The 16,682-nt window shown below is 37.9% G+C and overlaps 1 protein-coding gene across 8 annotated transcripts in view; it reads right to left on the bottom strand.

The window, feature by feature from the left end:
- The window catches only part of SUCO (SUN domain containing ossification factor), a 79,485-nt gene that overhangs the window by 44,736 nt on the left and 18,067 nt on the right, over positions 1–16,682 (bottom strand). For 4 of the 8 annotated variants that reach the window (XR_007060764.1, NM_014283.5, NM_001282751.2 and 1 more), the window contains exons 2-6: positions 15,472–15,586; positions 13,728–13,838; positions 11,075–11,229; positions 9,681–9,818; positions 9,304–9,454 (exon numbers count right to left, since the gene is read on the bottom strand). Coding sequence is in view for 6 of the 8 variants with exons in the window: in NM_014283.5 (NP_055098.1) it covers positions 9,304–9,454; positions 9,681–9,818; positions 11,075–11,229; positions 13,728–13,838; positions 15,472–15,586 (670 nt within the window). In the remaining 2 variants the exon portion in view is untranslated. The remainder of the gene's footprint in view (positions 1–9,303; positions 9,455–9,680; positions 9,819–11,074; positions 11,230–13,727; positions 13,839–15,471; positions 15,587–16,682) is intronic. The other 4 variants (NM_016227.4, XM_006711375.3, NM_001282750.2 and 1 more) reach the window with 1 other exon arrangement.

The raw sequence follows: 16,682 nt of genomic DNA, 5'->3' as shown, positions 1-16,682 counted from the left end.
TTAGGAAGACAGCAATTTGGTCCCCATCCAACTTCCACCTTAGAGTGCTTTACAGAACAAGTTGATTTACTAAATGAAGTGTATGGCTACTTAAAACAATACATGGCAGAAAAAGACAAAAGAGCTAGTATTACCACTAATTTAATTTTTTCAATTAGATAATAAAAATCTAGTTTGAATATAAGGAAGGAGACAGGACTCAATTGATTCCGGAGGCAGGGCTCTGACACCGAACCATATGCATGCCCACATAAAACAGGTCAGGAGCAGTTTCTGTAAGACATGCCCACCAGCGTGCCTTGTCAGTTTAGCACTGCCATGGCAACACCTGGAAGTTACCACCCCTTTCCATGACAAGGATCCAGCAACCTGGAAGTTACCACCATTTTCCTAGAAATTTCTGCGTAAACCACCCCTTAATTTGCATATAATTAAAAGTGGGTATGACTGCAGAACTGCCTCTGAGCTGCTGCTCTAGGCACCCTGCCTGTGGGGTAGCCCTGTTCCTCAAAGAGCAGTACTTCTGCTGCTGCTGTATACAGTCAATTCAATAAAAGTTGCTGTTTAACACCACCAGCTTGCCCTTGAATTCTTTCCTAGGTGAAGCCAAGAACCTTCCTGGGCTAATCCCCAATTTGGGGGCTTCCCTGTCCTGAATCATCTGGTGACCACGAAGGGATGAAGAAAGCAGAGATGGCAGTGACTGGAGGAGAGGCAAGATGATGCAACAGCAGAGATGGAGAGAAGGTGATTGGCAAGAGCCAATGAGAGATGGCAGTCAGAGAAACAGCAAGAAAACAGCAAGGGACAATGAGAGACAGCAGTTAACAAAACAAGACAGCAAGACATGGCAGCAGGTGAGATGACCAGAGAGGTAACTAAGCAGAGCTGTAAAACCTGAGCTCTAACACTAATCAAAAGCTCTTTTGAGAGTCATCATTTTCCCTGGCAGACAGCACAGCTGAGCAGACGAGCAAGTGGCCATAATGCCACTGCCTCATATGGGACCCACTGCTCTGACAGGCAGACCAGTAGGTTACCAGCCCCTGTGCAAGCCCCTCCCACTGCAGCAGCTGAGCCCACTCTAGATGAGGGAACCTGGATGAAGACCCAAATCCCATGTGGAAGACCAGTCACATTTTGGCTTCTGTGGATGGGTGTGTCCCCTCTACCACCCCCCATAATTATCAGGTAAGCTAGGGAACAAAAGCCTTTGGCTAAGTGGTCAGTTAAAAGCCCCCATCGTTAGTGTGCCCTGAAACACATCCTGAGCACCTCTTCCACTGGTCCTTGCCCTTCTAGTTCATTATTCCACCAGTCATTTCATTTTCAATCCTAAAATGTGTGCAGTCTTATTGTTTGCTTTTAACTTTCTGTCAACTGTGTGTGGCAATTATTTAAGGTGGGACACTTAGTTGTGAGAGGTCCCCCCAGTGTGTTGACTCTGGGACACCACAGTCACATTCTGTGACCTCAACTCAGTCATGGGACACTGTTGGCTGCACCCGGGGTGCACTAGGGTTTTTGGCATTGGTGAAGGGACCCTCGTTGGCTGAAATGCAGGCACTCTGGGTTTACAGCATTGGTATTATAGACTGCACCCAAGATGCGCTGGGGTTTTTGGCATTGACATTCCTTTAGGACTGTGGGTTATAGCCCCTCTCCCTAGGGAAGTATTAGTCTTGCCCTTTTCTGTCCTAAAGTTAGAAGTATTATTTTCCTAACAGCGAGTTGCAACTCCTTCTTGGGAGCTGTCTTATAACTGCTTTGCTTGTAACTGCCCCTCTTGGTCAAAGGAATTGGGAGTTCACAGGCTCCTGACCTCAAATGGACAGCCACCTACAGCAGTCAACAAGTGGCTACCTATTTTCTCAGTGTCTCCACTACCAGGTAGGTTCTCCAGCAAGTCAGGGCCTCTGAAGTCTCCACTTTGGCAACCCTTTCCTAGGTAAATTACTTATGTGCATAGGCTTTAAAATGATTAAAATGGCATGAGAATAGAATAGAACAGAACAGAACAGAACAGAACAGATCAGAACAGAATAGAATAGACTGAGCTTATTGTATGGTATAAAATCTAAAAATGGTAAAATGATTCTCATCTATAAAATTCTAATGTCTGGTAGGCAGTTCAGGATTTCTTGCTAGGTTTACATAAAATGTGCTAAAGAAATGTATTTTTTATTGGGAAAAAATGTTTTGTTTAATTTGGAAGTTACTAAAAGGGAAGTTCAAAATATAAGGAAACCATTAGGTAGAAAAGAGAGACATAAAGAATGTTATGGATAGAAAATGTTTTCTCTTTGTTTTGCAAAGGATATAAAAAAAGAGTAATTTTATATGAGGGAGAAATCTTGCATAGTAAATCCTTGTCCTAAAGTAAAATGTCCAGTTATTCAAGAAAGAGGTAGTATAGGACAACGTATTAGTCCATTCTCACATTGCTGTAAAGAACAACCTGAGATTGGGTAATTTATGAAAAAAAAAAAAAAGTTTAACTGAATCACAGTTCTGCAGGCTGTACAGGAAACACAGTTGAGAAGGCCTCAGGAAACTTACAATCATGGTGGAAGACTGAAGGGGAAGCAAGCACCTTTTACACATGGTGGCGCAGGAGAAAGAGAGTGAAGGGGGAAGTGCAACACACTTTTAAACAACCAGATCACGCAAGAACTCATTCATCACCAAGGCCCTGGGCAGCTCCACCCCTGTGGTTCTGCAGGGTAGAGCCCCCATAACTGCTTTCAGGAGCTGGTGTTGAGTGCCTGCTACTTTTCCAGGTGCACGGTGCAAGCTGTTGGTGGATCTAACATTCTGGGGTCTGGAGGATGGTGGCCCTCTTCTCACAGCTCCATTAGGCAGTGCTCCAGTGGGGATGCTGGGGATTGGGGGTTCCCACCCCATATTTCCCCTCTGCACTGCTCTTGTAGAGGTTCTCCATGACGGCTCTGTCCCTGCAGCAGACTTCTGCCTGGACATCCAGACATTTGCATACATCCTCTGAAATCTAGGCAGAAGTTCCCAAACCTCAACTCCTGCCCTTTTTGCACTCATAGGCCCAATATCACACGGAAGCTGCAAAGGCTCGGGGCTTGCACCCTTTGAAGCAATGGCCTGATCTGTACCTTTGCCCCTTTCAACCACAGCTGAAGTTGGAGCAGCTGGGATGCAGGGTGCCATGTCCGGAGGCTGCACAGAGCAGCAGGACCCGGGGACTGGCCCACGCAACCATTTTTCCCTCTTAGGTCTCCTGGCCTGCGATGGGAGGGGCTGCCATGAAGGTGCCTGAAATGCCCTAAAAGCATTTCCCCCACTTTCTTGGCTATTAACATTTGGCTCCTCTCTACTTATGCAAATTTCTGCAGGCTTGAATCCCTCCCCAGTGAATGGGTTTTTCTTTTCTACCACAAGTCAGGCTGCAAATTTTCCAAACTTTTATACTCTGCTTCCGTTTTAAATATAAGTTCCAGTTTTAGGCCATTTCTTTGTTTATGCAAATGAGCACAGGCTTTTAGAAGTAGCCAGGCCACATCTTGAATACTTTACTGCCTAGAAATTTCTTCTGCCAGATACCCTAAATCATCTCTCTCAAGTTCAAAGTCCCACAGATCCTTAAAGCAGAGGCACAATGCCACCAGGCTCTTTGCTAAATCACAGCAAGAGTCACCTCTGCTCAAATTCCCAATGAGTTCCTCATCTCCATCTGAAACCACCTCAGCCTGAATTTCACTGTCCATATTACTATCAGTATTCTGGTCAAAACCATTCAACAAGTCTCTAGGAAGTTCCAAACTTTCTGTTACCTTCCTGTCTTCTGAGCCCTCCAAACTGTCCAACCTCTGCCCATTTCCCAGTTCCAAAGTCACTTCCATATTTTCAAGTACCTTTTTAACAATGCCCCACTTCTCTGGTACCAATTTTCTATATTAGTCTGTTCTTACACTGCTATAAAGAACTATTTGAGACTAGGTGTTTTACGAAGAAAAGAGGTTTAATTTTTAATTGACTCACAGTTTCTTAGGTTGTACAGGAAGCATGGTTAGGGAGGCCTCAGGAAACTTACAATCACAGCAGAAGGGCAAAGGGGAAGCAAGTACCTTCTTTACATGGCAGTGCAGGAGGAAGAGAGTGAAGGGGTAAGCACTACACACTTTTAAACTAGATCTTGTGAGAAGTCACTATCACAAGAACAGCAAGGGGAAATTCCACCCCCACAATTCAATCACCTCCCATCTGGCCGCTCCTCTAACGTGGGGATTACAACTCAACATGAGGTTTGGGTGGCGACACAGAGCTAAACCATATCAGACAAGTAAGAAAATTCAAGCATGTTGTGGAGGGTCTGTGTTATGTCGTGACAAGGTTCATAAAGGAGACTTTTATAAAAAGAAATTTTGTGTATGATTAAACTTGGTATAATTAAAAGGAAATTGTTTACAATACACTTTCTAAAGAATGGTCTAACTGGGTGCACTGGCTCACACCTGTTAATCCCAGCACTTTGGAAGGCCAAGGCGGGTGATCACGAGGTCAAGAGATCAAGACCATCCTGGCCATGGCCAACATGGTGAAACCCCATCTCTACTAAAAATACAAAAATTAGATGGGCATGGTGGTGCACGCCTGTAGTCCCAGCTATGGGAGGCTGAGGCAAGAGAATCACTTGAACCCGGGAGGCGGAGGTTGCAGTGAGCAGAGATCGCACCACTGCACTCCAGATTGGCAACAGAGCAAGACTCCATCTCAAAATAAAAAAAAAAAAAAAAAAAATGTTAAAACCCAATTTTCTTAAAATGTTAATTTGCTAAATTACCAGAAATTTTGCTTTTCAATCTTGTAATCTATTCTTTTGAAAGCTTCTCAGATTCATTTAACTCTTTTAGCTTTTTTTGTGAGCTCCTGTGAGTTTTTCTCCTCCAGCTACAACTGCTGTTGTGACCTGAGGCTAAAATGTTTAGTCTTAGAGAGAGGTCTGTGGGAGCAGTGTTTTCCTCCAGTATAGCTTAATTCTATGCTGTTGTTTTTTTATTGATGTGTAACTTATTTTGGCTTTTGGTTTTGACTCTGATATTGCTTAGAAGTGTTTGGGGGGCTGGTAGGTGCCTGCCCAAATCCATTCCCTTTGGCCAGGAAGGGAGCATCTGTTCAGTCTGTTGGGGGGCTACAGATTTTGATTTTTGTTTTGTATTCCTCCTTGTTGTCAGAAGGTGCTGGATGCAATGTTAATGGCAAAGATTTTATTTTCTCCTGTGCCAATGCTGAGGTAGTATGCTGCCTGCCCCAGGTCCATTGTGTCCCTTGGTGGGAACCCTGTGGCCAGGGGACTTGGAGTCAGGGGACTTGTAGCCAGGGGATGTTCTGGGCCAGACAAGAGTAGAGGTGAGTGGGTACTCATTGGTCCTTGAACCCTTTTGAGCACTGGGGGAGCAAAATAGTGTAATACTTCTTTTCGATCACTTTAGCCAACCTCCTAGGAAACACCTCTCTTGTCCTTATTGGGTGTAGAGGCCATGCTAAGGCCCAACCGCAGATATCATGTTGTCACTATTAATCTTGTTTGCTCTCCCAATTACCCTGAGCTGGTGTGGGTAGAAACATAATTCTACAGTAAATATTTCAAAAATTATAGCATCAGGGCACCACCTTCATGGTTGCTAGATTCGTCATCAACATCCCCAGGATAAAGATTTCAATCTTCTGACTTATCCAAAAAATCTCACAAACATCCCCCACAGACCTCCTAACTAACCACAGCAATCCTGAAATACCCAAACCCTTACTTGATAAGTGGAATGAACTCCCCCCACTGAATGAAATCCACCTGAACCTCCCCACCATTACCTGGACCTGGGAAGTTGGGTATGTATACCTCCAGTGCACTCATGATCCTACCTTCTGCATCTTTTGTGCTAATGACACTAAAGCAGAAGTTTCCCTGCAATGCTCTGAATACAACTCTAGCTGCCAAGATACCAATGCTGCAGTGAGGTAAATGGGATTCCACTTGAAAGCAAGGAGACCATACATGGTGGCTTCTCCTGGATTAGAATATACAGGGGAAAAACAACTATCTAGTCTGGGAAGGTGGCGGTGCCACCCTCTTTCAGAAAACAAAGATTGTTCAACTACCCCCATTAGAATAGGGGGAAAGTATCTCTATAGACTCAAGTTGGCAACAAAGAATAAAGATCACACCCCATAGGGTCTCCATTTGTGCCCCAATTCAGCTCATTTTTCTTTGTGGCCATGAATGGGAAGAAGTTACACCCCATAACCACTCCTGACTCCCGAGGTAGTCATCTGTTTTTTGTTTTTTAATTCTGGATAGTTAAAAGTCAACATCTTCTCTTTTAGGAGTAGCTTTCCCTTATGTATCAAAACTTGGAACTGAGGTGAATACATGTTAGCCACTCTTGCCCCTTCAGGGATCACAGTCATAGTAACACCAGAAGTAAATGAGCAATAGGATTAATTCTGGCAGGAATCAGGGCAGCAGTACCCTTGGGTGGCTTTGCTTAAAGTGAACCCTAAACAACTTGACTCAAACCCTAGAATCCTTAGCCACCAACACAGGTCATGCACTAAAGAGAATTCAAGAGTCCCTAGACTCTTTGGCAAATGTATTTCTCAATAACAGACTAGCACTGGACTATTTACTAGCTGAACAAGGTAGAGTATGTGCAGTTATTAATAAAACCTGCTGCACCTATATGAACAACTCCAGACAGGTTGAGATTAACATTCAAAAGATCTATGAGTAAACTACCTGGTTACAGATATAACCAGGGCACTCATTGCAACTACAGCTGGTCAACTATCAAAACTGCCTTCGCAAGTCTCAACTGGCTTTTACCTACCTCTTCTGGGACCTTTGAAGGCTGTCTTGTTACTAATTTTTGGTCCTTGCTCGTTTAACCTCTTAGCAAAGTTTTGTCTTAGATTACAACAGTTCCAGGTAAAGATAACGTTAGCACAAGGCTTCCAACTCATCCTGTCTCTGGGCCCCTATCAGTTATCCAAAGATTTTCACTCATCTGGTGCTAGACAGGGCCTACACTGTAAACTCAGCAGGAAGCAGTTACAGAAGATGGATCTCTGTCCTTGTGCAGCCTTCTTAAGATTAAGGAGGAGTATCTAATCTCTGAGGGAGGAATGAGGTGGGAAGGTGGGATTCAATTCTGGAGGCGGGTCTTGGACATCAGATCAAATTGAGTACCAGCTAAAACAGGTCCCAGACGGAAGCAAATTTCTGTAAGCCAAGCCCACCAATGTGCTATGTCTGTTTACCACTGCCACAGCAACACCTGGAAGTTACCACCTCTTTCCATGGCAACACCCAAAAGTTACTACCCCTTCCCATAACAACTGCCTGACAACCCAGAAGTTACCACCTTTTCCCTAGAAATTTCTGCATAAACTACCCTTTAATTTGCATATAATTAAAATTGTATATAAGCATGACTGCAGAACTGCTTCTGAGCTGCTATTCTGGGCACAATGCTTATGGGGTAGCCCTACTCCACAAAGAGCATTACCTCTGCTGCTGCTGCTGTACACTGCCGCTTCAATTAAAGTCGCTGTTTAATACCACTGGCTTGCCCTTGAATTCTTTCCTGGGCTAAGCCAAGAACCCTCCCGGGCTAAGCACTAATTTTGGGGCTTGCCTGTCCTGCATCAGATACATTGAGAAAATAAACAAGAAACATACACTTATAAAAATTTACCTAGCTGAGATACTAACAAAGTAAAGCTCAAATACAAAAACTGCAACAAAAAGAACATACATTTACCCTTTGAAGCCCAGCCAAAGAAATCACTATATCCTCCTAGCAACAAATAAGAGAACAAATACAATAAAAATCACTTTGTAATGCACTGTCTATAAACAATACAACAAAATCAGTTTGGAAAGCATTCTCTGTATAAGTACGGCAATCAGTGTCTCACAGATCCTTGAAATAAGAGGCTAGCACAAGGCATCAGAAAGCAAATTCTCTCCCACTCACACAAACTTAACGGGACAGAGTTATTCTGAAGTAGATACTACATAAAACTATTGGCTATTACTCATAATGTGCTCATTATCTGTCATGATTTTTCTGGGATACTAATTCATTTAGAAAGTAATTAATACAGTTAATTAAAATTCTACTCTTTTGCCGATTAGCATAGACTCACAAACAGTTTAAGTCTCTAAGGTAATAAAGAAATTTCAGTCTGCTAAGGAGAACAAGCAAATCTAGGACAAAGTTAGCTGCCATGCTTGAATTTTACATTTGACATTATTATAAATACCTTCAAAGATGTGTTTTAACGTTTGTCTAATTTTATTCATGGATGTGATATCTGACAACTAAACTTTAACATATGCGTGATTTGGTATCACTGAGAAAAGTAGTTCCTTCAAGATGTTAGACTATGAAATCCTGAGCTCCTATATTTGTAAGAAACATCGTCAAAACAGTTGGTCCCGTGATAGTGAAAGTCTCCAGAATGAAGTTTAGTTAGTCGTAAGTGAAGATTCACTGAAAATACGTGAAAAAGAAAGCAGAGAACAAAAGATCCCCAAATTAAAGAGGAATAAATATGGATGTGGTAGTCAGCACACTGAACTACTCATGGACCCTATTTATTTTTGTTTTTGTTAAGTTTATGGAATATACTTCATCTCTGTAACTTAGTTATTGCTTACCTGAGGGAAGTTTAAATTGCTGTGTTGATACTATTTCAAGAAATTCTACAGTGCATGAAGTCAAGGTAGAACTCAGAAGGAGAAAAGAAAGTAAAACTGTTCCACTGTGATAAGCCCTGCCTTAATTATAAGAATCACACTCTAAAATATAAGGTGGTCTGGTTGTATTTTGCACACAAATAATGAAAGGTAAAATGTTCCATTAAAATAGTTCTGACTGAAGAGCCTAAATTTAATCTTGTATTATTAACTTGTATTCTGAAGATAATTAAATGTAATTAGTCATACCTTCTTCTAGATAGCTTTCTAAGAAGATGATTAAATAAGGACTTTATGTATCTGCTATCAAACAGCTGTGGGTGGCACAAAATCATTTAATAATATATAACCAGAGAGAGTTCACACTTGAAACAACTTTATGTGATAAACACTATAATGGAAACAGAATCACTTGCTCTCAGGGAGCACAGTTCGTGTTAGTTCCACATGTTATTGTCTACTTAATCTCCCTGATTTTATGACAAATATAGTTAGCAAATTATTATAAGCTTAGCTAATAACAAAAATGCATTACATAAAGAAGTAAGAGATAGTGCAAGTTATATACCTACCTCATTTTTTAAATTATCTGAAGCATTCAATGCAGATTTTGGATCACCACCGCCCTGTTCACTTGCTGAAACTTTTGATTCAAATTCTGATTTTGTTATCTTTCCTTTACCATGTGAAGATGATACATTTTCTATATGCTGGCCAACAAGGCTGTTTAAAACCAAAAGATATATTAAATAAACAGATTTTACTGGATAACAAATTCTATACAATCTAAATTCTTTGAACTCATGCACAAAGTAAACCAAGGAAGAAACACAAAGAGATCAGCTTTCTCTCAATCAAAGTGGAATTTAACATACACCAAAGTCCATTCAAACAGGACACTGCTGTTATTACAGAATCATAAGAAGGACAAACAACTGCTCCTACCCACCTGTCAGGTGGACTGACAAAGGAAGGTTGTTCAATTGGAGCACTAGCATCAAGGGCCTCACCAACATCACAATCAGTTTCAGACTGCTCAGTTTCACTTGGTTTGGCTATCGGAATAGTACCAGATTTTTCTATTTCACTAAAAAAAGAAACAAGAAACATAATCTGGTAATTAAATAAACTTGAGGTAATATACATTAAAAACACTATTAGTGATTTCCAAAACATAATGTAAACCAAAGAAAGAAAATTTTAAATCATGTAAAGTCAATTGCTGACTTGATCTGTTATTGTCCTCAGCTTCTAAATAACTACTTACCAAATATGAGGTTAATATTTGGTCTTTCAAAAATAAGATTTTTAAAAATTACTTATTCTCAATGTATCTTCTCTAAAGTTTAATTTCCATCATTACTATACTAATTCTACCAGCATTAAAGTTGTTACTTATGGCATCCTTCAAAAGTCATTATCTCAAGACATTTCACTAAAATTTTAAGGTGTTCTTAGAATTTCGTTTTTAAAATATAAACCTTCCTATTTTTCCCTGCCTCACCTCCATTTCATTAACCAGTCATTTTTAATATAATGGGAGTATAGCATTCACTCTTCAGATATATAGTATCTAGCCTTAAATTCCTTCTGAATCATTTAAATTTAAAAGTTTAAATACTATCATTATTTCTCAACATGTCTTCTGTTCCCTGGCCCATACTGAGACAAGCTTCTAAATGGTAACCATAATATCTTGTGCAACTCCTTCAACCCAGGCCCTTACATTCTTGAGTTATGTACCAGTTATTCTTCTTGCACTTTATTTATGTCAACTCATTTGATAAAGGAAATGCTTAATGTAGTATTAAGAGAAGGACATTTTGTTTTGTTCTTTGGACTGCTGCAGGAAGAAGCTAGGAGAAGTACATAACAAATTTTCTAAATTAAGGATCACTTAAACCTAAACACTCTGAATATTTATTATCGAGTTTGAAAAAGTTAGCGATTCACACGAAGACATAAAAATGAATGAAATGACAGTGATACTTAATGGAAATGAATAACCTGACATTTGAGTTGATAATTATAGGGAATTCAATTCAAATAAGCACTGTTTCCTAAGTAGAACCTTACTTTGCTCAGACTATATAGAGATTTCATATCTGGGATCTATCAGCTTCATTGAGTTAGTTAGCTAAATAAACTTGTTATAAAATCATTACATTCAAAACACACAAACGCATGCACACATACGCACACAAAACACAAGCACTGTAATTTAGGTCTGCTATATAGCCTAAACTTCAAACTTGAGTATCAAGCTGCTTTATCTTTTAAGGAAATTTTTCTATCACTAACTAAGGAGATTCTTTTTTGTGTTTGTTTTTTGTAACAACTTACTCAAGCTTTGAGATTGGAGTGATTTCTGAGGTAGATGAGCTGGAAATATTTTCAACAGTTTCACTGTCCACAACTGCATTGGAAGACTCTTCATGCAAATCAACTGTAGGGAGTGTCTCCACCACCGGTGGACTTAACTTTTTTGACTCTGTATTCTGTTTAAAAAAACAAGTCAGCTAAATTAAATGTTGAGATTAATATAACATCTCTTTAGCAGAACGGGCATTTATGGAAAGCATTTCTGAAAAATGACAATATAAACAATGTTCACTAAAAAAAGTACTTTTATAAAAATCCTTTCTTCCAATATTACCGCCCTAAGGAATGCATTTCATATGAAAATACAGGCCCTAAGCATTTTTCATGGCATTTCATAAACTAGGAAAGCACTTTCTCCCTACCTATTTCCTACTTTGCATCAGGACCTACAGAGATTTCCCTCTTCTCTAATTGATGAATGATAGTAGCAACAAAGAAACCCTATGGACATGTACAAAACAGTACAATACATAGTTCTTGACCCTGAGCAGTTTAGGAAATAATGTGTATCAATAAGCAACGATATAAGATATGTTCAAGTAACACCATGAAGCAATAAATGATTCTTACTGCTCCTTCAGTCTTGAATGACCTGGGCCTTTCAGTCCTCCAAAACACAATGTGAAATCTACCTAACACCTGTTCATATTTGAAAACCTCTATCAGCACCTCCTCCTCCAAGATCAACCCTAAACAGAATTAACTACTCCCTTTCCCCTATGCCTCCAGTGTTCTCTGTACACTTTTATCACTGCATCTATAACAACTCAATTGCCATTATTCATGTCTCCCTCTCTTCTTCAACTATACCATAAATGTCCTCAGTAAGAACTATGTTCTCTTGATCCTCATATTCCCAGTGTCTAGCACAGTATCTAGCGCACAGTAGGTGTTTAAATGCTCAATAAATGAATATCAAGTGAGAGGTACTCATGTTCAGCTCAAGGAAAAAGAAACTAAGGACTATGATGAATTAGAAGAGCTAGGCATTAAAGAAAAGGAGGGCCAGTACAAGAGCACAAACAAACATCGAGGCACGCAGTCCGGAGAATATAAAGTATGATCATTTGGGGAATTATTTACACCGAGAAATTCACAAAAAAATATAAATAGTCATCTGCATTTTTATGATGGAGGCCTTGAGAAAATGACTACTGCCTTATTATCAAATACTATATTACCATATGAACATGTATTCAAAATTTAAAAATTAATGAGATACTTTACATGCTTTTTTTTTTTTTTTTGAGACAGAGTCTCACTCTGTTGCCCCAGGCTGGAGTGCAGTGGCATGATCTCGGCTCACTGCAACCTCCGCCTCCTGGGTTCAAGCAATTCTCCTGCCTCAGCCTCCTGAGTAGCTGAGACTATAGGCGTGCACCACCACACCTGGCTAATTTTTGTATTTTTGGTAGAGACAGGGTTTCACCATGTTGGCCAGGCTGGTCTCGAACTCCTGACCTCAGGTGATCCACTGTGCCCGGCCTACATGCTATTTTTTAATTAAGTCTTCAAAATCCAATGTGTATTTTACACTTACAGTAAATTTCAATTTGGACTAGCCGCATTTCAAGTGCTTAATGGCCACATGTGGCTAGTGGCTACTGTAATGAACAACATAGGTATACAAGACATGGTAAGCACTCGGAAGTATTTGAGCACAACTACATCATAATAAAAGTTTTATGAATAACGGTAGGAGTGTTCAGGATAGTCATACAATTGTAAGGGCTACAAGTATCATTTTTCTCTTACTCCTATGCATAAACCCTTGACAAATGTCTTCCAGAATCCAATAAAATGAAACTAATTCTATTGCTTTAGATAACTCAGTAAGTTATAAAATAGCCCTGGCTCTTGCAAAAAGTACAAGGTTAAAAAATAAAAAATGAAAAAAAAATTAGCCAAGGCTGTATTTTTTTAAAAAGAAAGAATTCTCCCTCATTCTGAGTTGAAATGTGTGTTCTTTTTTTAATATTCGAGATTTTAGTTTTTCCTTAGTCCTTCTGCCTACAGATAAAATATCCCCAGTACCTTCAGCCATTACTGATATTACATGGTTTCCAGATACCTCAGCATTCTGATCAGTTTATGGTGTATATATTCTAGTTTTTAGTATTTTTCATAAAGTCTGGTGCACAAAATAAACAATATTCAGAATGTAATATGAGAGAAAAAGGGAAAAAACATATTTTGATCTATTATCTATTCATACCCACAATAAGTGGAAATCTTGGTTATCAAAATACTCTGTGTTCTACATAAAAATACTCCCTTTTGTTCCAAGTGATTCAGGTTAGAAAAAAATTTCTTAACAACTGAAAATCTGAAGAGACAAGATACATCATAATGAACCAAAATAGAACCGAGGAAGAAATGAGGATTTATACTCAAACTTTTACTACCAAGAGACTAGTCACATTTATTATTATCTGTAATTTTACATGTTCTCAAAAGTAGTACTATTAGCAGGTAAGTAATCTTAAGTCCAGTTACAGAGTACCTCAAAGTGAAAAAACTAACAATACACACACAATATGGTGACCAAAGGTTTTCAATCTTGTAAAGTAGTTTGAAATGACATATTATTGAAAATCAAAGCGACATAGCTTACTTGTACATCCACAATAGAATCATCTTTTAATTTATGTTCTTTTGGAGAAATAGGTAAATTTGAACCTGATTTTCCCAATGATTCGGCATTGATAGGTCCCTCTCTTTCATCCTATATAACAACAACAACAAAAATCACCTGATAAAACTGTTTTACAAAACAGTTATAAAGCAATACGAAGATGGTTTTTTTCCATACTTTAAAACCAAAAAACTGCCTTGTTTATTTGACTCTAATTAATTTCATTTGTATACAAGATTATTGTCTATTTCCTTGAATCCCCTCATTGCTACAACATTTAAAATGTGCAATACACCAGTTCAAGAACTTCATTTGATTTCTTAATAAGCATTTTAGTCTTACCATCCAGCACCGTTGTAAGCACCTAGTAAAACTCCAATGAATACCTGACAAATGAAGATACATAAAGCTCTTTCTTTCATCTCTTTTTTGACATACATTCAAGTTAGAATTTCTAATACCTTTATGCCTTCTAGAGTGTAATTTTCATAAAAGTTCATATTCAATCTTTGTTTACCTGAGCCTATCTAGCTCATACTAGGTATCTAAATGTTTACTGAAAGAACATGCTTTCCCCCTTAATGCTTTGCTTAAATTCACTTTTATGACATTTGTTTGCAAAATGCTTCATCAAAAGGGGGATTAAATCAAAATCTTATATACTGTGTGGGTGAAAATATAAAATTATAGTTTTTTTTGAGATATGCGGCAAGTCTTCAAAATTTTAAATGCTCCATCCCAGAAATATATCCAACATAACTTAAATTTAAATAATCCACTCTAAATATGCCCAAAAAACCCTCAAGTATGTAATTGTAAGTATGTGTTGATACACACACCCACATGTGTGCACACATGGCAGGGAACAAAATGCAAAAGTTTGTCAATAAAGAACAACTGATAAATAATGTCTATATAACAAGATTAAAATGCAGCCATTCAGAATATATCAACATGAAAAGATGATATATGAGCTATCACTGGAGGGGAAGGGGGATGGCAATTTGTAATATATTTATATGATATTTTCATGGAAATAAAAATATTAATTTGTGGGCAAATATAAAGGTGTTATCTATACCCACAGAACAAGGTCCAAACGTTTTCACAAGAAATAGTAGACTGTTGTTCCTTTGGGGAAAGGAATGAGACATAAATAATAAATATTTTATACCAATATAAATTACTTCAGTAATTTTAAATAAATACACTGAAGTTAAAGGCAAAAGCCAAATCAAGTCAATACTCTCCATTTATCATTTAGAATGGTAAAATAATACATGTTTTAAGACCATGAGGTTTTTTGGAGTCTTTATATTTACTGCACCTAATTACATAAAACAAACTACAAAGCCACTGACTGTAGATTCTCCCTGGAATACTCACTTCTAATAGTTCTCATTTGCAAAATTGGGGTTTCTTTAAAAACTCTATTATAGATCATTAAAAACAAATCACTCATTTTCAGCTCTCTGAACATGCACTACCCTATACTACAGGACTAAGGATGTTACAAAATTCCAAATACAAGCAACAAGAATAAACATATAAATATCTCTGAGCCGTCATAATTTAAGAATTACCTGAGTAATAGCAAAGAAAAATACGAATCTCCACCAAAAATTATGGCATGGCATTTTTGAAATTACTTTTATTCTGAATGTTTTCAGACACTCTCAGAAAGCTGACACACAAATTATAATGTTAACTTTATTTAAGGCACCTTTTTCTGGAATTGTACATCTTCATTTTCTAGTGCGCAGTTGTCATCTTGAGAGTAATATGATGACGCTGAAGCTGAAGAACTCTCTTTACAACATACACGCCAGCTGGGAAGCCTGTAAAACACCCACCACCACCAACAAACAGAAAAAGAGAAAGAGAAAGAAAGAAGAAAAGTTGTTAAGTCAACATATTTCTATATGGGCTAGAATTTGAGGCGATAAACAGACAGATGGTTCCTATCCTAATACCTTTTAACAATTTAATGACGAAAATCAATACGTATAAGAAAAACATAAACATTATTATCAGCATTCCAAGTAAGACATTATGAATTCCATGAAGGTACAACAGGAAAGTCTTCACCAGAAGCAGTATCTGATAATTATCACACAAGGTACACAGAAAGCTGTCAAATAGCTAACCTCCTCGGAAAGTACCAGTTCTTATAAATTCTAACAAATATTTAAGAACAGATAATCCTAAAGTTACCTCAACTGTTTAAAAGCATAGAAGCTTCCAAATTATTTTTGCATAGAGAACCTAACAGTGATATCAAAAACTAACAGAAATAGCACATACATAAATGAATACTAGAGGTTAATAGTACTTATGAAATAACATGCAAAACTTATCAAGAAAACAATAAAAAAGAAAGTCTCTAGGAACATACCAAAGGAGAAATATACCACAATTATTATCAAGTAGAGTTAAGCTCTGACATTCAAAACTAGTCCAACATAATAAAATCAACTTGATTTGCTATGCAAAAATATCAAGGAAAAATATGTTACGATTATATCCATAGCCACTGAAAAACATCTGATAAACTTATACATCCATCAATGTTTTAAGAATCAATAATGAAACAGGAATAATTATATATTTAACATGGAAAATACATATGTAATACATAAAACTAAAAGTCAGTATTATATTTAGTGAGGAAACCTAAAAAGACACCTATATAGATCTGAAATAAGACAAGAATGTCCATTTTCATTAGCATTACAAAACATGAAGATAAAAGAGGCATAAAAATGGAAAAGACAGTAAAATTATCTGTAGTTCCAAACAATGAGTGTATCTGCATTAACTGCAGATGAGTTTATATAATTGGAAAATTCAAAAGAATCACCTATTAAAAGAAGTCCCAGATATAAAAATTATATTCCCAAGTATAAAATTAAGAAGCAAATCAACACTCTCTCA

Source organism: Homo sapiens, chromosome 1, assembly GCF_000001405.40.
Source record: "Homo sapiens chromosome 1, GRCh38.p14 Primary Assembly".
Classification (NCBI taxonomy): domain Eukaryota; kingdom Metazoa; phylum Chordata; class Mammalia; order Primates; family Hominidae; genus Homo; species Homo sapiens.
The sequence above is the reverse complement of the archived record's forward strand: the minus strand, read 5'-3'. Positions and strand labels throughout refer to the sequence as shown.